Below are 26,052 nucleotides of genomic sequence, written 5' to 3' on the forward strand. Positions count from 1 at the left end.
TGGTGAAGCTGCGGAGAAAAAGGAACACTTATACACTGCTGGTGGGAATTTAAACTAGTTCAGCCACTGTGGAAAGCAGTTTGGTGATTTCTCAAAGAACTTAAAACAGAATTACCATTCAACCCAACAATCTCATTATTGGATATATGGCCAAAGGACTATAAATCAGTCTATCATAAAGACACATGAGTGCATATGTTCCTTGCAGGACTTTCACAATAGCAAAGACATGGAATCGACAGAAATGCTCATCAGTGATAGACTGGATAAAGAATATGCAGTAAATATATAGCAGAGAATACTTCACAGCCACAAAAGTAATGAGATCATATTCTTTGTAGCAACATGGATGGAGCTGGAGGCCATTATCCTAAGCAAACTAATGCAGGAACATAAAACCAAATACTGCATGTTCTCACTAATAAGTTGGAGCTAAACCCTGAGTACACAAGGACACAAAGAAGGGAACAGCAGACACCAGTGCCTGCTAGAGGGTGGAGGGTGGGAGGAGAGAGATGATCAAAAAACTACATATCTGGTATTATGTTTATCTAGTGAGGGGTGAAATCATCTGCACTCCAAACCCCCATGACATGCAATTTACCTGTATACCAAACCTGCACATGTACCCCTGAACCTAAAATAAAAGGTTTTCAAAAACAAAGAAATAAAAGTCTCTAGAAGGAGAATTTAGGTAGGGGAGATGATCATGCAAATTTTGAGGTACTTGTAAGACATCCACTGAAGATGTTGCGTAAGCAGTGAAATATACAGTCTGAAATCTAGGAGAGAGGTACAGGCTGGAGGTATAAATTTGGGAATAATAAGCCTATAGATTGTGTTTAAAGTCATGAAATTGGACAGAATCACCAAAGCAGTGATTAAAAAAGAAAAGAAGCCCAAGGATTTAGCCCTCAGACATTCCAATGTAGGCTTGACAGATGAAGAGGAACTTCTGAAGGAAACTGTCAAGGAGGAGTAAATGATGTAGGAAGAAAACTAAGAGAATTGACCTTTGGACTTAGAAATATGAATAACTGGCCACCTTTATAAGAATAGGATCTTTGGACAGATGGGACAAAAGCTTAATTGAAGTAAGTTCACAAGAAAGTCAAGTAAGTATAGGCAACTCTTTCTGGGAGTTTTGCTACAAAATGTAAGAAGAGGAGTGGTGTGGTAGTCGGGCAGCATATGGTCAAGAAAAATCATTTTTAATATGTGAAAACCTTAGGAGCATAATTCATCAAGTCAACAAGACCACAGGTATAATTGTGGAGATGAAGTTTGAAAAATGGAGAATTCTAAAGGCATTGCTTCCTATATGCTACATATATGCCATGTATGTTTCATTTTTGCTTCCCCCCTAAATTACAATTCAAAGAATATTCTTCTCATAAGTTTCAACAAAAGGACAACCTAAGATAACTAGCTCTCAAACATGGCCAGAAACAAGATTTGATGATTCCTATCTCAGAATTCGACAATCATATCACAAGAAGAAACTCTCTATAGGAATATACAGGAATCTATAACGTTATACATGAGAAGCCATGAAGAAAAGAAATTGGAATACTGCTCCTTTCTTCCATAATACTAAATATAGACCATAGTGACCCCCTAACACCACCCCCACTATATATACTCTGAAGAAAGGTTGGAGACAGAAGGCAGAGTGGAAGACAGTCAGATAGATAACCATTTTGCAGTGGGGTGACAGAATTGAAATAAACAAAATGTGCATCTTGGCACTATTTCCTCTCCCTTCAAACTGGAGCACTGAGAGCAGTACCAGAAGTTCTTGCAATATTAAGTAGTAGAGTGGAGATGCACATGCACTTATGACCTAAAGAGCAACCTGCTGCCCATTAGATTATCAGTGCTTGTTAATGATTATATCACAGTTGATACCTGCAACCTGCAGATACCAAGCCACGAGCCATATGCCTTTGTGTCATGGTTATCATCACAATAAGGAGACAGCCAAACTATTACTCTAAATGATGAATAAGAAAGTGGATAGAAGCAGCATGTCCAAATTGGTCTGATGAAAATTCTTACTGATTTTGTCATAAAAGATAAAGAAAATGGTAGCAACTCAAACATTCACAGTAGTGCTGGTTAAATTATTTACAAAGTGCTTATAAATAATTCTACATAACATTTTTCTGTTAAGATTTTATTTGCCAATTCCAGCATGATAATTTGGCTGCTGGATTGGGAAAATATTTCTAATTTAATGAACAGGAGCCATGAACAAATTTAAGATTACTGCAGTAAAAAATATTTTCCTCCAAAAATAATTTTGTTCATCATCATTGCTGATATGGTTTGGCTGTGTCCCCACCCAGATCTCATCTTGAATCCCCATGTATTGTGAGAGTGACCCAGTGGGAGGTAATTGAGCCATCAGGGCAGGTCTTTCTAGTGCTTTTCTCATGATAGAGAATAAGTCTCATGAGATCTGATGGTTTTATAAGGGGGAGTCTCCCTGCACAAACTCTCTCTTTGCCTCCTGCCATCCATGTAAGATGTGGCTTGCTCCTCCTTGCCTTCTGTCATGATTGTGAGGCCTCCCCAGTCATGTGGAACTGTAAGTCCATTAAACCTCTTTCTTTGGTAAATTGCTTACTCTTGGGTATGTCTTTATCAGTAGCATGAAAACGGACTAATACAATTGCCTTTAAAGAGGGATTGAAAAATAAATCTTTAAAAAAATAGCACCAAATTTTAGTGTCAACATAGAAGCATGTTTCTAGAGTTTTAAATGGAAAATAATAATTTTGTGCTGACACTTTTGAGTGAAAATTAAAAGATCCAGTTTACTCTCTCAGGGCTAGAAAATGAAACAGCACATCCAGGGGTGGTGGCTCAGGCCTATAATTCCAGCACTTTGGGAGGCCAAGGAGGTTGGATCACCTGAGGAGTTTGAGACCAGCCTGGCTAACATGGCAGAACCCTGTCTCTACTAAAAAATACAAAAAAATTAGCCAGGCAAGGTGGCATGCACCTGCAATTCTAGTTACTCAGAAGGCTGAGGCAAAAGAGTCTCTTGAACCCAGGAGGCGGAGGTTGCAGTGAGCCGAGATCGCACCATTGCACTCCATCCTGGGCAACAAGAGTGAAACTCAGTCTCAAAAAAAAAAAAAAAAAAGAAAAGAAAATGAGTCAGCACTTATTTTCCAGTGTGAAATAAATGTAGATGCACTGGCCAGAATGTGAAACATAAATAGGGTTTTTTACTCCAAAGCACAACACTGTAATGCAACTTGTTATTTTGTTAGCTGCAGAAAATCCATATGTGTCTGAGCAACCTCAATTCTTTCCTCCTCCAAAGAAATAATTGTACTGAGGAGAATAAGGCAGAGAGAGAGGAGATATCAAAGCAAGTTTTAGAGAAGAAGTGAAAATTTATTAAAAAGTGTTAGAGCAGGAGTAAAAGGAAGTAAAGTGCACTTGGAAGAGGGCCAAGCGGGCAACTTGAGAGATTCGAGTGCACTACTTGACCTTTTGACTTGGGGTTTTATATGTTAGCATGCTTCCAGGGTCTGTGTCTTATTGTTCCCTTGCGGTGGGCTGTCTGCATAGGTAGTGGCCTGCTAGCACTTGGGAGGGGCCGCATGCGCAGTTTACTGAAGTTGTCAGCATGCTTACTTGAGATGTTTTTTCCTTATCAGTCGAGTATTCCTATAGGAAGATCATATACCAGTTAAACTCTGCCATTTTGCTTGCCTCTTAGTGTGCATGCTTAAGCTTACTCGCCCAGCTCCTGAGATCTCACTGGGAAGCTGCTGATCACCGGCTTCAGGTGTTTTCTATCTATTGGGAGACTGACTTTCCCTGGTGCTAGCTGCAACCAATTACTATTTTAGAGAGACAGCTTAACAACCACCTGACCACCACTTTATGGTTGCCTGACATTCCTGGTGGGGTGTGGGTCTCTTGCCTGTTCATTTCCACCTAACTACCTACTCTAATTTGAGACCCCATGTATGCAATTGAATTTTCTTCTACATGTTGCATGTCTTTTCACAATCATTGGACTGCAATGATATGCAAAACATTATTTGTAATCATACCACTTTCTCACTTTTTCTTCTCCATGATGATTTCTTTTATTTTGACTGATAATAGCCACACTTCAACCTAATGAGGATTTCTCCTTTCCCTTATTGTTACTGAATGGAGATTTTTCTCACACCAATGGCTGAATTGCAGAGTAAAGAGGAAAACAACTGCTCAGAAACTATCAGCCAGGAAACGAAACCTTATTTATATTCACATTACATAGAAGACACATTTAAGTCACTGGAAACTCACTTTAAGTTTCTCTTTTTTTAACCTCCTTGATAAAATACCAACTTAAATTTAAAGTTGAATGGGGCTCTAAGAATATTTAGAAGTTATTTGTTTGTTTTAAATAGGCTGGCCCTACTCCTAAGGTACATCTAAGTACACTTTCTCCTGATTTGTCCTTACTTATACGGTTAGCTTTCCACTTTTTGAGAATTTCAAGAGGTATTTTTAAAATCCGTATGTCTACATCTTAAGAGGTTTTTATTTCCCCCTCAGACAAACCTTTATTCTCAATTTATATTACTCTAGACCATTTTACTATGAATGTAAAAATTGTGTAACTATGATTACTGATTCATGAAATAAGAATAAAAGTTGTGATTTGTTATTACAAATGGTTAAATTGTAGAGGCTTCTTTGTGGTTTCAGTAATGGAAAAGGACAGCAGCTCCCATGAGGTAATTTTATCTTCCTTGTGAAAGAAGGGAATCACCCTTGTCTCTGATGGAATTTTTGTGTGGCTTTCCAGCAACAGGTATTCAATCTTTTAGGTTAGATCTTTAAAGGATGATTGAATATTTGGATAGTGTTTAGTTTGCATGGCTAACACAAATACATTTACCCTAACTTTTAGGTTGCAACAACCTCTTGAAACCATTAAAACCCAAAAGGTTGCATCTGGTATCAATAATTTTTTTAAAAATTCCAAAAACAATAAATGGAGTCTATTTCAAATGCTCTATACAATTTATAAAACATATCCCTGTCTTTTAATTATTTTCAGTGAAAATGTTCTAAATCATTGTGTTTATTCAAAAGGTGTGAAAAGGAGTCTGCCATCTTTTAAGCCCTAGATAACATGATATAGCTCTACCTTGGTTCTAATAAATGAATTTGAGCAAAGTATAAGATATGGCCATGTGCATAACACTGAAGGGAGATAAGAAGATAAAATGTAGTTAAACACTATACATTTGTGTGTAATGCATTTTCTGTGTATGGAGATGCTACAGCATAGAGGTAACATTTTTGCATATAAAATATGATGCCAAAAGGACTCATAAAACTACCTGTTTGTCAAGTCAATAGAAATAGATGTCACCTATTTCCCTAATGATGTACATTTTGACAAAGGTGGAGGAATGGAATTAACCAAAGGAAAATTACAATGAATAATTGATTTTCTCGGTTGTAATTCAATTTTAGATAATACTTCAGTACTATGAAAATTATTTTATTTTGCCTAGAAAAATATTTCACATGTGTACTGTGTTTCTTGGTAGAAATGGAGAGAGTAGCTTTACGTTTTATATGCACTTGACTATCATACACATGTATGCACACACACAGAGATTTGTCATTAAAATTGAATTGGACAATCAATTCAATCTGAAAAGATGTCAACTTTGCAAGATAATTGATTTGGTTTCTTTTTGTTTGAATTTACTAAATGTTCTACACCCAAATGATTCAACAATAAGGGTCAATATAGTCGTATGCATAGACACAGCTCAAGTTGTATACAGCTATGGCTAGTCTTTTTTGAAAGTACAGCATTCAGTATTAAATTATATTTGTTGTATGTAATAAAGAACAAGTACACAAGAGATTAGAATCCACAAATTTAAAATTCTGTTTTTCTAAATATTATAACTTAAATAGAATAAATCCACTTTACATTGTAAATACCATTGACTCTTGAACAATGCAGAAGTTGGGGCAGTAACCACCACCTGCCTCCAGTCAAAAATTCACATATAACTCTTTGTTTATTTGTTTGTTTTAAGCAACAGTGTCTTGTTCTGTTGCCCAGGCTGGAGTACAGTGATGCAATCATATCTCACTGCCACCTCAACCTCCTGGGCTCAAGGAATCTTCCACCTTAGCCTCCCAAGTAGCTGGGACTACTGATGTGTACCACTATGGCTGGATAATTTAAAAAATGTAGAGACAGGGTCTTGCTATGTTACCCAGCCTGGTCTAGAATTCATGGCTAAAAGCGATCCTCCTGCCTCAGCCTCCCAAAGTTCTTGGATTACAGACATGAGCCACCATGCCTGGCCACATGTATAACTTTTGACTCTCCAAAAACTTAAAACTACTGATAGCCTGCTGTTGACTGGAAACTTTATTGATAATGTAAATTTTCAATTAACATATATCGTATGTTACATGTATTATATACTGCATTCTTACAATACAGTAAGCTAGAAAAAAGAAAATGTTATTAAGCAAATTATAAGGAACAGAGGATATATTTTCTGTTTATTAAATGAAAGTATATAATCATAAAGGTCTTCAACCTTACTGTCTCCATGTTGAGTAGGCTGAGAAGGAGGAAGAGGACTGGTTAGTCTTGTTGTCTCAGGGGTGGCAGTGGTGGAAGAAAATTTGTGTAAGTGGACCTGCACAGTTCAAACCCATATTGTTCAAGGGTCAGCTGTAGTATGTTGTTACTAAGGACATAAAACAATTTGGTAATTAACTCTCAGAGAGTAAGAACCTAGTTCACACTAAGCATAGAACACTACTTAAAGAAATGATCTCCAGGAATGCTAGAAGAATCATACAACACTTCTTTTCCACTTACAGAAACCCATTCATTTTGAATTTAGGGAATATTCATTTGATAAGCAGTGAATCAATACCTCAAATCCTCTTCTAATTACTGGCTTTCTGACCACTAGACATATTTACAATATTGAACAATCCCACTTCAACCACATTCAACAGAATGAATGTTAACCTGTTGAGTGCTCTTTCCTTAAATTAAGAATCATGGGAAGTTTCTAGGAATTCAGTCTAGGAATCCATTTACCTTTAGGCTTTTGTGTTTTAAGCCTTAATATGTGCTCTCTAGGAAGCTCTAGCTTATTTCAAATGTTCATATGACTTTCTGTCATATGTAATTTAGAAAACAGATATTTATTGAATGTCTACTGTGTATAAAGCAAAATGATAGCCTCTGCAGAGGAAAAAGAATAAGTAGGTCATAGTCCCCACTCTCAAATAATTTAAGTCTAACTAGAGATTTAAGACATTAACATGTGAAGTTTTTTTACTTTTATATTAAGTTCAGGGGTACAAGTAAAGGTTTGTTACATAGATAAACTTGTGTTATGGGGGTTTGTTTTACAGATTATTTGATTACTGATAAAGCATATAAATAACATTTGAAGAACGTATTTTAGTAGATAGTATGAGATTCTATATGTGTGGTCAGAAAATTTACACTGCATAGGATTTCAAAGTGAAAAGTTTTTGTACTATGTCTTTGCTTTCTTCAAAAGGGTGGACATCTTTAAGAGGCAGGGAGGAATGATTCTTGTTTAGGCTTCAATATTTTGGCAGGCATGTTACATAATTTTAAAAAGAGGCAGCTAGATAACAGGTGGAGGTTTTATATTTCCTTATTATAACTTTATTCTTTTTGCAAAACAATTGGAAACTGCCAGTAAAATTTATTGATATATAATATTTGTATATTTTATGCAAGATATGTGGTATTTTGTCACAAGCGTAGAATGTGAAATGATCATGTCAGTGTATTTAGGGTATTCATCACCTCTGGCATTTGCCATTTCTATGTGTTGGGAACATTTCAAGTGCTCTCTTCTAGCTATTTTGCAATATATAATATATTATTGTTAACTATAGTCATCCTATCCTGCTATCAAACATTAGAACTTATTCCTTCTATTTCATTATATGATTGTACCCATTAACTAACCTCTTCATCTCCTTCCCCCAACACACATACCTTTCCCAGCCTCTGATAACTATCATTCTACTCTCTACCAACATGAGATGTTTTTTAGCTCCCACATATGGGTGATAGCATATAATATTTGTATTTCAGTACCTAGCTTATTTCACTTAACATAAGGACCTCCTATTCCATCTATGTTGCTGCAAATGACAGGATTTCATTCTATTTTATGGCCAAGTAGTATTCTATTGTGTATATATAACACATTTTCTTTATCCATTCATCCCTTGATGGACACTTTGGTTTATTCCATATCTTTGCTATTGTGAATAATGCTACAAAACCATGAGAGTTCTGATATTCCTTTGATATATTGATTTCTTTTCCTTTAGAAAAATATCCAGTAGTAGGATTCTTGGATCATATGGTAGTTCTATTTTTAGTTTTTCAAGAAATCTCCATTCTGTTTTTCATAGTGACTGTACTAATTTACATTCCTACCAACTTTATATCAGTTCCCTTTTCTCCACATCTTCTCCAGCATCTGTTATTTTTTTTTCTTTTTAACAATAGCCATTCTAAGATGACATCTCATTGTGGATTTAATTTGCATTTTCCTGATAATTAGTGATGTGGAGCCTTTTTTATCTACCCGTTGGCCATTTGTATGTCTTCTTTTGAGACATGTCTATTCATGTCCTTTGCCCACTTTATAATGGGATTATTAGGTTTTTGGTTTTTTGGGTTTTTTTTTGCTATTGAGTTGTTTGAGTTCCTTGTATATTCTGAATATTAGACCCTTGTGGGATTAATGGTTTTCAAATATTTTCTCCCATTCAATAGGTGTAGTGTGTCTTTATTCTGTGGATTGTTTGCTAGTACATTTTGAAGAAAGATACTAGTTAATAAAATTGATTATTGAGAAACATATAAGAGAATACACTCTTTGGGATAAAGGAAGGATGTGGGAAGTGCCATTTTACTCTATCTTGAAGGGTAGGGAGAGAATACACACACATCACACATGGTTCCCATTTACAAACATAAATAAAATTTCTGAGGACTGACTAGAAGGCAAAGTGTAATAGCAAGAAAGATCATAAAATCAGAAACAAATATTTCCAAATTTCAATTCCAAAAATTCTGAATTTAACATTAAACTGTTTTTGCTTCTAATTTAAACTCTAATGTTCTCTACTTTGAAGGCTTATTTTTCTACTCTGGCTCATTCAAAACTTACACAAACACGTAAAGCACATTGAGCATATAACATGTCATTTTTATTTGCCAAATTATAGTCATCAAATGATACCTTGTACAGAAAGAGTAAAACCTATGCTGAAGTGAAAATGTATTTCCTGGTTTCATTTTGGAAAACATGGTAACATTGCAAGTTGGAAGTCTGATTATTCATTGTCATACTAGCACACAAAGTGCATTGTACTTAAATCTTTTTTAAATTTCAAAAGCAAGACATGTAAAAATCAAAGAAATTTAAAGAATGTGGGCTTTGGTATATAAGAAGACCTATTCTCACTCTTAAAATTATTTAAACAGGTGCTATGGGAAGCCATTGCCTGTATAAGGCTTTTAAGATATTTACAACAAAACATTTCCCTGTGATTGAATTTTTCCAAGTACTAAAATACCATGGAGAAATATGTTTACCACCAGTTTTATGGCTCCCTACATGCATTCTCTATAAACCTTGTATCTGCTTGGACACAAACAGTATTGCAAAAAGACACCACGCCATTTGAACAGGGTATACAGCTTTGAAAGCGTATGCCACAGTACTAATGGGAATGTCAGTATTATTATGAGTAATACAGTTTTAAGACCATTCTTTTATTACAGGAGACCTAAGTAATTGTTCTTATTTTACATCTTAATTTTAGTAGGAGTAAAATTAATTTAGTAGGAGTATCTGTGGGGATACTACCACTATTGTGTTACAGTTTTTGGCCTCGGTGCTGATATGGGATATAACATTTGTGAAGTCTAAGCACGGAAAAACATAAAGGTAAAGTTTTCCTTTACAACATGTATTATTCCATTGAAAAGCAAATAAAAAATAATTACCTGGGACCTGAAAATGCAACCCCTATATGCTTCAAAGGTTTGGGTTGACAATGTTTAAAAAGCTACAAGGTATCAATAGTAGAATTTTGCTAACCAGTGAGTCAATTTTCTAGGCAAATGGGGGAAGAAAACACATGTTGTAAGTATCCAGATGAGAAAGTATCTTCTGGAAACTTGTAGCAGTGGCAATAAAGCAATACACATCAGTGTTCAAACTTGAATACATATTGTATTGCTTTTCACCCTCATAATTTTTTAAAATATGCCAACTGTCAGAGACAGTGGTAGGTAAGGTTAGATGGTTACATGGATTATTAGTAAAGTCTCCTGAGAAATTGGGATGTTGATGGTGGTTGAGAATCATAGGCTGACTATGATGCACTTCACCATCTGTTAATATAGGTATTTTAACTGGAGATAAGATCAAATATCTTGTCATTAGCCAAGAAGAGGAAGTAATTTCAATGCCATGTTAAAAATACAGTATTTAGCCATTCACACTGGAAAAATGTCTAATGGGAAATGAATAATGCAGGAGAGGTGACAATGGACAGAAAGGCAGTGAGCAAAGTGATCTTCCCTAGTGACCAAATAGAATTAAGGAAGTTAAAATCGCTAAGTGAAGTGAGTAGATATAGCTGTTCAGGTGATGGAAGCATGTTCTTTTTTTTTTTTTTTTTTGAGACAGAATCTTCGCTCTGTCACCCAGGCTGGAGTGCAGTGGCGCTATCTCTGCTCACTGCAAGTTCCATCTCCTGGGTTCATGCCATTCTTCCGCCTCAGCCTCCCGAGTAACTGGGACTACAGGCACGTGCCACCACGCCCGGCCGATTTTTTGTATTTTTAGTAGAAACGGGGTTTCACCATGTTAGCCAGGATGGTGTCGATCTCCTGACCTCATGATCCACCTGCCTTGGCCTCCCAAAGTGCTGGGATTACAGGCGTTAGCCACCGCGCCCGGCCGCATGTTCCTTAAGGTTATCCAAAGCAAACATGAAGGCAGATTCAGAACAAATGCAGAAATGGCTAACATATGATACTGCGTCTGGAATTTATTCCTTCCAGTGGGTTCTTGGTCTCTCTGACTTCAAGAATGAAGCCGCGGACCCTCGCAGTGAGTGTTACAGTTTGTAAAGATGGTGTGTCCAGAGTTTGTTCCTTCAGATGTTCAGATGTGTCTGGAGTTTCTTCCTTCTGGTGGGTTCATGGTCTCACTGACTTCAGGAGTGAAGCTGCAGACCTTCGCAGGGAGTGTTACAGCTCTTAAAGTTGGTGCGTCTGGAGTTGTTTGTTCCTCCCGGTGGGTTCGTGGTCTTGCTGACTTCAGGAGTGAAGCCACAGACCTTTTCAGTGAGTGTTACAGCTCATAAAGGTAGTGCGGACCCAAAGAGTGAGCAGCAGCAAGATTTATTGTGAAGAGCGAAAGAACAAAGCTGCCACAGCGTGGAGGGGGACCTGAGCGGGTTGCCGCTGCTGGCTTGGGTGGCCAGCTTTTATTCCCTTATTTGGCCCTGCTCACATTCTGCTGATGGGTCCATTTTACAGAGTGCTGATTGGTCCATTTTACAGATTGCTGATTGGTCCGTTTTTACAGAGTGCTGCTTGGTACGTTTACAAACCTTTAGCTAGACCCAGAGCGCTGACTGGTGCGTTTTTACAGAGTGCTGATTGGTGCGTTTACAAACCTTTACCTAGACACAAAGCGCTGATTGGTGCATTTTTACAGAGTGCTGATTGGTGCGTTTACAAACCTTAAGCTAGACACAGAGCGCTCCTTGGTGTGTTTACAATCCTTTAACTAGACAGAAAAGTTCTCCAAGTCCCCACTCAACCCAGGAAGTCCAGCTGGCTTCACCTCTCAATACTAAACTGAAAATAACTTCATGGGACTCAAATGTTATAATGTTGATTTTTAAAGCACTTTATCCAAATAAATGACTCAAAAAATATACCAATTTCATAGAATTGGAATTTAGGGCAGAAATTTTGGGTGTTTTGTTTAAGTCTGATTACAAGATATTAGTATTGAAAGATCTTACATATTAATTTTCTCTTTATTTTCCTTTCTTCATGTTGCAGAATTTCTCTGGTTATTGAGTTCACAATATTTACACATTCATAAAAACAGAAAATGTGAAACATCTGCATTTAATACTAATCGTTGAATTTTGTAGGGCTTCATGTGAAGTATATCTTAAAAATAGTGTTTCCCCTAAAGAAGTATCATTGGCTCTGAGTACAATAGTCACACCTTATTTGCAGGGGATATGTTCCAAAACCTCTGGTAGTTGCCTACAACAGTGAAGAGTACTGAACCCCATACATATTGTTTTTTTTTTCTATACATACATACATGTGTTAAAGTTTAATTTATAAATAAGGCATAGTAATAAATTGACAACAATAACTGATGGAAATATAGAACAACTATAACAATATACTGTGTAAACGTTATTTGAATGTGGTCTCTCTTTCTCTCAAAACATTTTATTGTACTGTACTCCCCTGTTGTCTGATTGCCATTTACTAGGAGTAACAGAAATCTTTGGAAAATGAAATCACAGATAAGGGGCAACTACTGTGTGTGTAAGGATAGAATCCAATTGGGAAAGATAAGAGGAGAAAATGATAGTGACTAAAATGTCACTGGAAGTTGAGAACTGACTATGTTTCTCTTTACATTTCAAGCTTTGACAGATGTTAAAGATGTTTAATAAATATTTATTTTACATACATAAGTATATATATAATATATATTTATATTTGCAGGTTACTAAAAGCATCACACTCTTACTGTCTGCATAAACCCAGCCTCAGCATAGACATAGTTTTATATTCAGTAAACACTTAAGATTCTTCTTTCAAACTAAAGCACTTATGATAGAAAAATGAGAAAAAAATTCTCAAGTACTAGGGCTATTAGCAAAAGTGAAACATGTCTGTAGTGTCTTCGCTTCAACATTTGCCATTCCATATGGATCCGTAAATATTTGTAACAATAGTAAGTAAAGGAATTTTAGCATTAATAAAATAAGGTCGAATTTGCCAGGAAAAATTAAGATAGATTTTTCATATTTTCTTTTTTTCATATAAATATTTATTGAACAAAAGCAGAATAAATGAACTAAGGGCTGTTTTAACCTGTAGATATAAAACAGCAACTTCAAATATTCAGAAGGGTGTCACACAGAGAATGAAAGACTTGTTTAGTATTTCTGCAAAGGGCAGAACTTGACCCAAAGGATAAATACAAGCAATCAGTAGGCCATTGGATAGTTGTACAAAGTGTATCACATGTCTTAATTGCTTCTTTCTCCATATAATGCGTTCCACACTTAACTTTTCCCATCTTATAAAAGGAAATAATACAACTTAATACTTCTCATGAACGTCTTAAATAAGTCACATTTTCATGGCAAGCCCTCCACTGCCAGCAATAGATGTACTCATAGTATTGGAAAACATCTAAAGTTAACAAACTGGTTTAGTATAAAAATGGTTTATTTGTTCCTCAGACATATTTCTGCATTTTACATTAGTGGATCTCAGAAGTTGGGGAGAAAAGAGAGCATAGTCTCCAAAGAGGGTGAATCATAATCCCTAGCAATACAGATATTGCCCTCAAACTCCAAATGAATCATTACCACTATCCAGCAATGGTACAGATGAGAGTGTGGTATGTGCTGGGGCATCTGCACAGACAAAACACAGTTGACAACCACTATTCTACAAGAAACAGGAAATCTTATTTCACAAGTCACTAAAAAACAAACTAACTGCTGTAGTAATGAGAGGCTCCATCCAGACTGTTAAATATTACAAAGTGAGAACTGTTTTAACAACTACTCAGCATAATGTTTAAGAACAAAATGTACATAAAACATTGTACTTTATATGTATATTTTATCACATAGTAAGAAATGCTGAAGTGCTTCATCTATGCAACAAATTGAAAATAAAAACTTTACATTTCTATATTTGTCAATATACAGGATTCTGAAGGTGGATCTTAAACTCAGGATGATAAATCAGTTATCAAGGAAAGCCACATAACCCGTCAGTCTGGATAACTGCTATTCACTGGGGATGGGTGAACTGGAATTGGCTCTGGCAAGGGAATAAACTTGTTAAAAGAAACATCCAGGGCCCTTGCAATTGGCTTTCTGGGCATAACCGTTCTTATGGTTGGGTCAGCTTGCCATTCTTGTTTTAATATACCTTTCACAGCCTCTTCTACAGGACATCCAAAAAAGGCTTCAAAATCATCAACGATTATTGAGATATACACTTGAGAGGGCAGGGCAAAGGCTCATCTCCTTGTTGTATCTCTAAGTGCTTCCATAATTGACTGGAACATCTTAGGCTACTGGTAAGCACGGAGGGTTGTATACATCCCAAAGAAATCTCTATGTCAGAATTTTTTTCCTACTGAGCAAATTCTCCCAAGTTCAGAATTTGCAGATTTTATAGCAGGTGGTATTCTTTCCCAAAGATATCTTGGATTATTCATGTCGTTATGGAGCAAATAAAAAGCTAGAAGCTGACCATTCACTGGGGGTGCAGCAGTTCCTCCAAGACCCTGGAACTCTTGGTTCTCGCACTGATCCAACAACTTTTTGAAACTGAAGGCACTTTCCTTCATCATTGCCACTGGCATCTTCCCAGCCTGTCTTGTGGCCACCCCTTCCCAACAGCCAGACCCCAAACTGTCCCCCTTTTCCTATATTCTTAGTAGAAAGTACACTTATCTTAAACTTGCAAGTCTGCATGGGAATAAATATACAACTTAAATTAAATTTGAGGGGAAAATGCGACTTGGTGGCTGGCAAGATGGCCGAATAGGAACAGCTCGTGTCTGCAGCTCCAAGGGAGATCAATGCAGAAGGCAGGTGATTTCTGCATTTCCAACTGAGGTACCTGGCTCATCTCATTCGGACTGGTTGGACAGTGGGTGCTGCCCATGGAGGGAGAGCTGAAGCAGGATGGGTCGTCGATTCAGACTACTCAGGTAGCTTGAAGACTTCAGGCTCAAACTACTTTAGAGCTAATCTGAGAGAGTTCACTTACAGAATTACAAGTTTATTCTTTTGTCTGGTTATTAGGAAGACAAAATACAATGCTATAATACCTTTATTAATTCTTGAAACATTAAGTAAATTCTTCACTCAGTTTACCAGAGTAAATTTTTTTAAAGAATTTATTGGGTAAATCCTGGAATCAATGTATATTCAGTGCACTTCTTTTTCTTGAACATTCCAGATCTACAAGGCTAGCATAGCTTCAGATGTAGCTCATCTTTTTGAGGGCCAACTATATGCTCAGTACCATGCTAAGTGTTTTGCATTTGAGTTTTTTCCTTTAAACTTCCCACAAACACTCTGAGGTAGATCTTTATATTCTACAAATAGGGTCACTGTGTAACATCCCAACACAGAGAGACATTCAGTAATGTTTATTGTGCTATAAGAAGAAGGCAGACTCATAGGAAATAAGTTAAAATCAGAAAGGGACGTATCAGATGATTAACCTTTGTATAATCATTTACGTTCAACTGCATGATACATTTTTTAAAGATTTCTAATTAATTGAAAAGTTTTTTGAAAATATTCCTCTTTGTCTAATAGTTATTAGAGAAAATCACCACCACACTCTTCAATTTATAGCACTTTGATTTATGCCACAATACAATGCACAACTAGGAACTCAAAAGTGTTTCTGATAAAAGTCATTAAGTAAGGTGAGAATATTGAAATAGAAGAAAGTAAAGTTGAATCAGTCCCCACAAACTAGAAATGAAGATGGGGAAGAGGCAGCATTAAAACATAAAACAAAATGGCACATTCATGTGTTCTAGTGCTGGCATTTACACATCCTTGCCTCTTTGGATATATATTATGAATTATTTTATTATTATTTTTATCAGAAAAAGAGTGTCCATAAGATGGTATGAATTTTCATAGCAATAGACAGCATCTAAAACTAGGATTGTGCTTTTGGTAAAGGTTGTTAAATTAAGCATTACTAATAGATACAAACTTCTTTGATAAAACTTAAGAAATTTTCAGGTGAGAAGCAACAGCTTTTTTTGTTTGTTTGTTTCTTTGTTTGTTTGTTTTTTGAGATGGAGTCTCACTCTCTTTCCCATCCTGGAGTGCTGTGGTGTGATATCGGCACACTGCAACCTTCGCCTTCTGGGTTCAAGCGATTCTCCTGCCTCAGCCTCCCGAGTAGCTGGGATTACAGGCACCTGCCACTGTGCCTGGCTAATTTTTGTATTTTTAGTAGAAATGGGGTTTCGCCATGTTGGCCAGGCTGGTCTTGAACTCCTGACCTCAAGTGATCTGCCCACCTCAGCCGCCCAAAGTGCTGGGATTACAGGCATGAGCCACTGTGCCCGGCGCAACAGTTTTTATTATCTTAATGTCTATATTACACAGGACAAGAAAAAAAATGTGAAAATTGCAGTGCTTTGCCTTGTTAATTAAATATATATTTTTAATAAAATTCAGCTTTCTAAAATAAAAATATTAGGGTCATTTTGAGTTAGCTAAGTTTATAACAGTATTGAAATTATGGTATCAAACTCATCTATTAGGAAAACCCTTAATTTTTTGTATAAAACACGTGATGGCTCAGTGCATCAATTTTTTTTTTTTAAATTTTTTGAAGAGGTGGAGTCCCACTACATTGCCCACGCTGGAGTGCAGTGGCTATTCGTAGGCATGATCATAGTGCATTGCAGCCTCAAACTCCTGGGCTCAAGTGATCCTTCTACCTCAGCATCCTGAATAGCTGGAACTACGGGTTCATGCCACTGTACCAAGCCCATTGCCTCCATATTTTAGCTAAGACTGAAATATCAGTACATATTCTCAGTGATTGTGGGTATGTGCACATACGTGGGTGTGCGTGAACAAGAGAAGGAGATGACTAATGAAAACAGAACTGTCTGTCATTAGTACTGTGGTAACATGAAAATGTGAATATGCATAGATTACAAACAGGTATAATTGCACAGTTATTAGTGAGCATATTGATAAAAATGTCAAATCTGTGTAATTAAGGGCATGTTCCTCATGAAAGAGTTTATAGGAGGTGACAAACTGTGAATTCTGTGTTATACAGACTGTTTTCCCAAGTTTTCCATGATAGAGTCATTCTGATTTTGAATTATCTTTAATTTTTAATCTTAATCCTCTGAAATATCTTCTTTATAACTTTCTTGGATACAAGTAAATTTATAATCCATAGAATTCATTCTTGGAAAAATATTTTCCTTTTATTTGTATAGGCTCATGTTTTTTACTATTTTGTTTCCTGAATCTATGTTACAAATTGGCCCATTATGCATGTTTTTCTGCAGTGTAAATTGATTTTCACAACCTCTATATCTAGAAAACCAACTGGTTGATATATGTCTTTAATTTTATTCGATTTCTTGAAGCTTTGGCAATACATCCTTAAAATTAGGTATCATTTTTGAAACGATTTTTTGAAATGTGAAAAGTAACTAGTTAAAAAATATATTGTGATAGGAAGCAATATTAAAATCTTGTAAATGTAGCAAAAATTAACCTTTATATAGCCCAGTGGTTTTTTGAATTGTCATTCCCACACCAGCAACTTTAGCATCAATTGGGCACTTATTAGAAATTCGAATTGCCAGGCTCTACTCTATACCTACTGAGTAAGAAACTCTGGAAGCAAGGAATGTGTATTTAAAAGACTTTCAGTGCATTCTTATGCATGGTAAAGTTTGAGAACTATGCTCTAAAGTGCTGGATGAATAACCTGCTCCCTTCTACCTTCCATTGACTCTTTCTACTCAGTCAGATAAGTTAACTAACCAAATATGAAAGCAGTGATTTTTAAATTTGGCACCTGAATTGCCAGGTCAGAACAGTAAATTTCCCTTCCTGATCTGTGCCAGATTAAGAAGAGAAGTTTCTTTCTTGGTTGAAAAAAAAAAAAAAAAAAAAAAAGAAGACTGGATGTCTCCTGGCAGGGAAGCAAAATGAGAAATCCGCTTTGCAGCCTCTTCAGCCAGCCAGATGCCTGAGCCCCCAGTAAGACTAAAAGCAAACCTATATTAGAATCCTGGGGAATATGGGCAACATGGCTGACTTGACACGTCAGGTTGAAAGCTGCCACTGAGGGACCACGATGGCTGGCATACTCAGATTTCAGAGGGAAGGCACAAAGCCATTTTACAAATGAGCCGGAGTGACAAAACATTATCACCTGGAAGGGTCATCTAATTTATGGAAATGGGTGCCCTCCTCCTCCATCTATCCCAAACACATCTCTTTAAAACAGCAGCTTTCTTTCTACCTTACCCCATTCCCAATCCTGCCACTTGTTTGCCAATTTATGATGCAAACTGTTATAATGTTACTTGGCACTCATAAAATGTTATTTTTTGTGCAGCCTTTTACACAGAGGTAGCCAGGCTGGTTTTCTGGAGAAGGGACTTGTACATGCCTTTGGTGCTTTTTGTTTGTTTGTATCAGAAGTTCTTGTTTTTCTTTGCAGATTTTAGATCAACTTCTAGTCTGTTTCTGGAACCTCAGCAGTTTTGTATTTCTAGGCTCTATAAAATATAGAGTTACTCCAAAAAATCAGTCAGGTCTGCTTTATCTCTGATATAACAATAGATCATCTCAGAGATTTTGGGAAACTATGTGTGTGGGAGAGAAAGGTTTATGCTTTAAATTTTTTTGCTCAGAGGACTATGCTATGTAGACAAGTTCAATAAATTTACACTAGACATTCTGTGACAACTATACAAGCTATTTTTCGAAATTGTAAAATTTCAGTTTGTCACAATATTTGTAGATTATAGTAATCATTTATTTTATTGGAGAGACTAAGAGTTGACCAGAAACTCTTTACCTCCATCCCCTTTCTTCCTTCATTCTACCACATATTTGTAAATAAATAAATACATAAATTATATATTCATGTACAATCTTGTCTTTTTGAATAAAAAAGAAATAGTGGAATCAATCTGATGATTCGAAATCTTACAGGGCTTTAAGGTTACCAGTGTACATATCAAATATCATTGCATATGTTATAGATAGACACATGATGGTGGCTATTCTAGATACTGAGGAGACAACAGTGAGCAAATAAAAATCAGAAAAAAGTCACTACCCTCAAAAAGATTCAATTGTACTGGAATAAAATATTTAATAAAATAAATAATTATATTATATTGTATATTAAATGGTGCTTAATTTTACAGAACAAAATAAATTGTCTCAATGAGGTAGAAATAGGGGTGCAGGTTGCAGTGTTAAATGGGATGGCCAGTATAGGTTTCACAAAGAAGATACCATTTGAGCAAATCATACAGGTGGCAATCTCAAGTGAAATGCATAAACACTCTAAAACACACCTTGTAAAGCATTTTGTTAGTTCTAAATTTTTATTTGACTTTTTTTCTTATTAAGCTTATTACATTCTCTACAGTTTGAATATCGCTTATCTGGAATGCTTCAGACCAGACATGTTTCCATTATTGGTCCATTCTTGCATTGCTATAACAAAACACCAGAAACTGAGTAATTTATAAAGCAAAGAGGTTTAATTGGATAATGGTTCTTCAGGCTGTACAGGAAATATGATACTGGCATCTGCTCAGCTTCTGAAGTGGCCTCAGGAAACTTTCAATCATGGCAGAAGGCAAAGGAGAAGCAAGCCTGTCTTGGCACACATGTTTAAATAACCAGATCTCATGAGAACTGACTCACTCACTATCATGAGAACCGCACCAGGAGATGGTGCTAGACCGTTCATGAGAACTTTCCCCCAGTGATCCAATCACCTCCCACCAGGCTGCATCTCCAACACTGGGGATGACAGTTTGACATGAAATGTAGGTAAGGACACAGATCCAAACCATATCATTCTGCCCTGACCCCTCCCAAATCACATGCCCTTCTCACATTTCAAAATACAATCATGCCTTCCCAACAGTACCCCAAAGTCTTAACTAATTCCATCATTAACTCAAAAGTTTGCAGTCCAAAGTCTTATCTGAGACAAGGCTAGTCCCTTCTGCCTATGACCCTGTAAAACAAAAACAAGTTAGTTACTTCCAAAAAACAATGAGGGTATAGGCATTGGGTAAATACTCCCATTCTGAAAGAAATTGTCCAGAAGAAATGGGCTACAGGCCCCATGCAAGTCTGAAACCTAGCAGCGCAGTCATTAAATCTTAAAGCTCCAAAAGAGTATCCTTTGACTTCATGTCTCACATCCAGGGCATACTAGTACAATAGGCTCCCAAGGCCTTGGGCAGATCTGCCCCTGTGCTTTGCAGGGTTCAACCTCCACGGTTACTCTCAAGGGCTAGTGTTGATTGCCTGTGGCTTTTCTAGGTTCATAGTGCAGGCTGTTGGTGAATCCATAAGTCTGGGTTCTGGAGGATGGTGGCCCCCTGTCACAGCTCCACTACTAGGCAGTGCCCCAATGGGGACTCTGTGTGGGGGCTCCAACTCCATATTTCCCTTCTGCTCTGCACTCGTAGAGGTTCTCCATGAGGGCTCCACCCCTGCCACAGGCTTCTGCCTGGGGAACCAGGCTTTTCCACACATTCTCTAAAATTTAGGCACAGGCTCCCAAGCCTCAGCTCTTGCACTCTGTGCTCCTGTAGGCTTAACACCACATGAAAGCGGCCAAGGCTTATGGCTTTTTCCTCTAAAGTATCAGTCCTGGGTCCCTTTTAGCCATGGCTGAAGGTGGAGTGCCTGGGATGCAGGGAGCAGTGTTCTGAGGCTACACAGGGCTGTGTGGCCCTGGGCCTGGCCCACGAAATCATGTTTTCCCTCCTAGGCCTCAAGGCCTGTGATGGAAGGGGCTGCCAGGAAGGTCCCTGAAATGCCTTTGAGGCATTTTCCCTATTGTCTTGGCTATTAACATTTAGCTCCTCTTTACTTATGCAAATTTCTTCAGCCCACTTGAATTCCTCACCAGAAAATGGGCTTTTTTTTTTTTCCTACACATGACCAGGCTGCAAATTTTCCAAACTTTTATGCCCTGCTCCCCTTTTAAACATAAGTTCCAGTATCAGGTCATTTGTTTGCTCACACATAAAAGCATACACTGTTACAAGCAGCCAGGCTACATCTTGAACACTTTGCTTTTTAGAAATTTCTTCTGGCAAATACCCTAAATCCTCACTCTCAAGTTCAAAGTTCCACAGATCCCTAGAGCAGGCACACAATGCAGCAAGGCTCTTTGCTAAAGCATAGCAAAAGTGACCTTTCCTCCAGTTTCCAATAAGTTTCTCATTTCCATCTGAGACCTCCTCAGTCTGGGCTTCGTTGTCCATATAACTATAAGCATTTTAGTCACAACAATTTAAAAAGTCTCTAGAAAGTTCCAAACCTTCCCTCATCTTCCTGTCTTTGACCTTCTATATTCCTCCAATCTCTTCCTGTTATCTAGTTCCAAAGCTGCTTCCACGTTTTTAGGTATCTTTATAGCAATACCCCACTTCTGGTACCAATTTTCTGCATTAGTCTGTTCTTGCACTGCTATAAAGAAATACTTGAGACTGGGTAACTTATAAAGAAAACAGGTTTAATTGGCTCACAGTTTCACAGGCTGTACAGGAATCGTGATGCTGGCACCTGCTTGGCTTCTGGGGAGGCCTCAGGGAACTTTCAATCATGGTAGAAGGCAAAGGGGAAGCAAGCATGTCTTATATGACCAGAGCAGGAGGAAGAGATAGATGGGGAGGTGTCATACACTTTTAAATAACCAGATCTCTTCACTCACTCACTGTCTTGAGAACTCCACTCCCACGATCCAATCACCTCACACCAGGCCTCATCTCCAACACTGAGGATTTTTGACGTGAGATTTGTGTAGTGACACAGGTCCAAACCATATCATTTTTAATTTTGGGTTTTTCAGATTTTGCAGTATTTGCATATACATAATTAAATATGTTGGGGATGGGACTCAGGTCTAAACATGAACTTAATTTACTTTTCATATACACCTTATAAACTTAGCCTGAAGGTAGTTTTATAAAATGTTTTTAATAACTTTGTGCATGAAACAAAGTTTTTATTGTATTTTGACTGTGATCTGTCACATTATGTCAGGTGTGGATTACTCCACTTGTGGCTTAATGTCTGAGCTCAAAAAGTTTTGAATTTTGAAGCATTTCAGATTTTAGATTTTCCAATAAGGGATCCTCAACCTGTAGAAGGGGAAATCTAGTTAACTGTCCTTTCATTGAGATTTTCCTATATGAAAAATAGGAAAGAACAGTGCTTCCCAACCAGTATTGACATTTGGCCAGATAATTCTTTGTTGGGAATCCAGTGGTGATCGGGGGTGAAGGGCTTTCTTTCCTATGCTTTGTGGGCGTTTTGCAACATCACTGGCCTCTACCACTAGATGTCAGCAGTATGTAGTCTTGACAATCAAACATGTCTGTAGCTATTGCCATATGTCCTCTGGGCAACAAAATTGCTCCTGGTTAAAAACCACTGACCTGTGTCTTCAGGCCTTCAATGACTTGGAAAGCAAAAGTGGGCTAATTTAAGGTGAAGCTGGGCTCATCCAGTTTTTACCTAGAGAAGGGTATTTCCAAACATTGTGTTTCATGAGGTGTTAATAGATGCTTAGGTTGTCAAATATATGACTATATACTCCTCTTTCACTTCTGTAAATTTTCAACTACCATTTATTTAATAAACATTTATATTGCATTTACTTTGGATCAGAAATTATTCTATCAATTTTGCTAATAGTAGTTCATTAATATTTATAACAGCCCTAAGAGGTAGGTGTTACTATTATCCTAACTTTATAGATAAAGAAACTGAGGCATAGAAAGGTTAAGCAACTTTCCCAGGGTTCTACAAATCATAGAGCAGGGATTCAAACCCAAGCAATCAGGCTCCAGTGTATTTTGCTCTTCATTATGCTCTCTGCTTCCTATCTTGACATATAACATATGTTAATATTTACTATTCGCATATTTTTTATTTTAAAAAATTCCACAGGATTTTGGGACACAGTTGGTATTTGGTCACAAGAGTAAGCTCTTTAGCGGTGATTTGTGAAATGGGGTCTGAGATGTTCTGCTCTAAAAGATTTAGCAAGTTAAAAATAAAGGAAAACTGTGCCCTGTGAAATATGAGTTTCAGATAAATGAGACACCAATTTTTAGTCTAAATCTGTCCTATGGAATATTTTGGACATAATTATATTAAACAATGATTTGCTGTTTATCTGAAATTCAAATTCCACAGAGCACCCTGTAATGTATCTAGCAATCCTAGCTTTAAGGAAAATTGTTAAATATTGTTTAGGCCTGTTTTCTCAACACTAATTTGAGCAACGAAGCTTTTCTTGTTAGAACACCTAATATCACGTGGAAGTTCTGTGGGGCTTTAGTCTAAGGACAGTGGGAATGCCTTTCAGCTAGAGAGTGAACAGATTATTAAGGGTTCATTCCAAAGTACAGTGATCTCTTCTTTGAACTCCTAGAGGCAAATAACAATCTATGCCACATGAACATGATTCAAGCTTAAGTGTCCACTGTTTTCCTAAATAATGTATCCGCTCCTTAATGACAAGAACTGGGTGTCATACTTCTTCCAAACCTTTTACTGGACATAATATTTGTTATTGGAATAACATTTTGTCTGAAAGATGACTGAATTCCAATACATGATTTATAAAGGAGCCTGTTATGTGAAATTGCTAATCTAAGGATCCACAGCAAATGAGCATAATTGGTTTTAGAGTATCTGTGTCACTTTCTCAGGCTGGTACGTCTTCATTCCTTTGCTACTAGCTTTCTGTTTTCATTTATCTGTATTATTTTTATTTCATCTCCTTAAAGAAATACAACAATTTGGGGATCAAGCTTTTCCACATTTGATGATGGCAATACTTGAGGAGTCATTGAAGCTATGTACACTTCCTTATATTCACACAAGTCACATTACACAGCAGTTGGTCATTTTATTGTTGTAATTGTTCCTCAGTTTGTTAGAGGGAAGCAGGTGTCTCACTTGTCCTGAATGTAATAATAATGACATTGCCAAAAAAAAAAAAAATGGGTCACCTGGGACAATAGTATTTAGGGAAAAGATCTCAAATAAAATAATAAAGTATAATTTACTTGATAACGAATAAAACTGATGACCTGGTAGGTAGCTACAATTTTCTACTGCTGAGTTAGTCAGCTGTGTTGTTTATATTCCTGTATCACAATCCTTAAAGCCCAGAGGAGACACACTCCATGCAAAATGGGAAAATAAGCATTAGAGTCATGTAGAGAGCCTCTAGCAGCCTGGACTTAATTTTCTGGGTGATTTTTCTATTTTGAGTATTCACTATATATTTATCTTTTTTTCCTACAAAAGTTCTTGTCAACTTTTATATCTATTCATCTGGGCTCTACGAAATAAGTTAAAATGGAGCTTATTCTCTAAGTGGATGCCCAAGTGCTATTACAAAGTATGGCAGGTTTAACAAACAGGCTTAATAAAAGTGGTTTCCACTTTGCTTTAATAAGTGAAGAGATCACTCATGTCCTTGACTAGATGGCAGTTCTCCTATTCTTACTTTGTAGTTTATACTATTATGTTCTATGTGCTGATAAAGGTTTTACTATTTACATTTTGAATACCAGCTTTTTAAATAAAAAAAATCAAAATCCTTTTTCCTGGGTTTAATAAGAGATGCTCTTATTTAACCAATAGCCTATGTTTCTAGAACTTGCCCATTTAAAATTGTATTGCCAATTAGGATTTTTCAACCCTATCTAGTAAACTCCTACATAACAGTGCACTTATTTAAATTCTGAGCAAAATTCAGATGCTGTTCAGATGTAAAAATATATTACAAGATTGAAATTGATTTCCAGTTCATTTACCATTCATTTTTGTAGCAAACGAGTTAAATAGGAAAAAAAAATCTGATGTATGGTTTGACAGTTTCCTCTTGCATACACTAAAACATAATACACTTCTACTGCTTTTGGGCTATTATGGACCTTAACATGCAATGTGACCTTGGTGTGAAAAGCATGTTTGGTTAGCACAGAAACTTAATCATAAGAAGTCATAAGTAGAATCCTTCTTCTTTATGGCCCTTTTTCTAGGACTAGGAAATTTATTGCTTGTGGGACAGGTAGGATATGAACAATGGGCCAAATAGAGTCCAGGGTTATCTCATCCATGTTAAAACTGCTGCTGAAAATCGATGTGACCTCTGCTACACTGTCATCCCAGTTCCCACCCTCTGTGTCCTATTTGTCTTTTGATAGAAGCTTAGATCCGTGTGCTGTCTCTATGTGTCTCTCTTGAGCCACATTATCAAAATGAATCATTGCCTGCATACCTCTTATATTTCTATTTATTCTCCTGGTGTTGACTAGGTCTGATGAAATATGATTCTTTTTGTATTTGATCCTCACTGCAGCAAGCAACACCTAATTCAGCTGTGTCTATCTCTTTAAAGAAGAGTAATACTATTTTGAAACTCCAATTTACTGTACAGCAACATTACAAACCATAGACCATGCAACCTGTCTTCATCGTCAATATAATTTTCCTTTCAGCCAATTTAATGGCATTTTTTTCATCTTCAAATAGAAGACTTCCAACAAATTTAATGTAGTTATAATTTTGTTTTCTGCATACTGAATGTATTGCTTTCCTTTTCAGCTATCTTGTTTGTAAAGCAATCCTCAGAGTCTCACCACTGAGGTTATACATATGTGTAGGTGATATGTAACAATGAATTCATTATTTTAAGAACTCTCTCCTTGACACAAAATATTTATTCAGGGAAATGATTATATTGTCTCTGAATCAGCAAGAAGTTAATGTTATAACTTCGTAGCACTTCATTTTATAATAGTAGCTTTTCCAGGCTACATAAATTAATACTTTAAGATTTATAAACATCAGTATAAAAGTACAGAACCT

General features: G+C 36.7%; 1 protein-coding gene and 1 pseudogene across 8 annotated transcripts in view, besides 1 other annotated feature; one reads left to right on the forward strand and one right to left on the reverse strand.

Moving 5' to 3' along the window:
* DACH2 (dachshund family transcription factor 2) overlaps positions 1-26,052 on the forward strand; it is a 684,152-nt gene that overhangs the window by 636,035 nt on the left and 22,065 nt on the right. The window lies entirely within an intron of this gene.
* On the reverse strand, positions 13,916-14,797 carry COPS8P1 (COP9 signalosome subunit 8 pseudogene 1; annotated as a pseudogene).
* Positions 20,721-21,246: an enhancer, noted in NCBI's record as "OCT4-NANOG-H3K27ac hESC enhancer chrX:86060209-86060734 (GRCh37/hg19 assembly coordinates)". NCBI's record gives its function as "activates a minimal SCP1, AML or CMV promoter by ChIP-STARR-seq in naive and primed H9 embryonic stem cells {active_cell/tissue: H9 hESC(naive and primed)}" and the evidence as "EXISTENCE:reporter gene assay evidence [ECO:0000049][PMID:30033119]".

The sequence above is a fragment of the Homo sapiens genome, chromosome X (assembly GCF_000001405.40).
Source record: "Homo sapiens chromosome X, GRCh38.p14 Primary Assembly".
Lineage (NCBI taxonomy): Eukaryota > Metazoa > Chordata > Mammalia > Primates > Hominidae > Homo > Homo sapiens.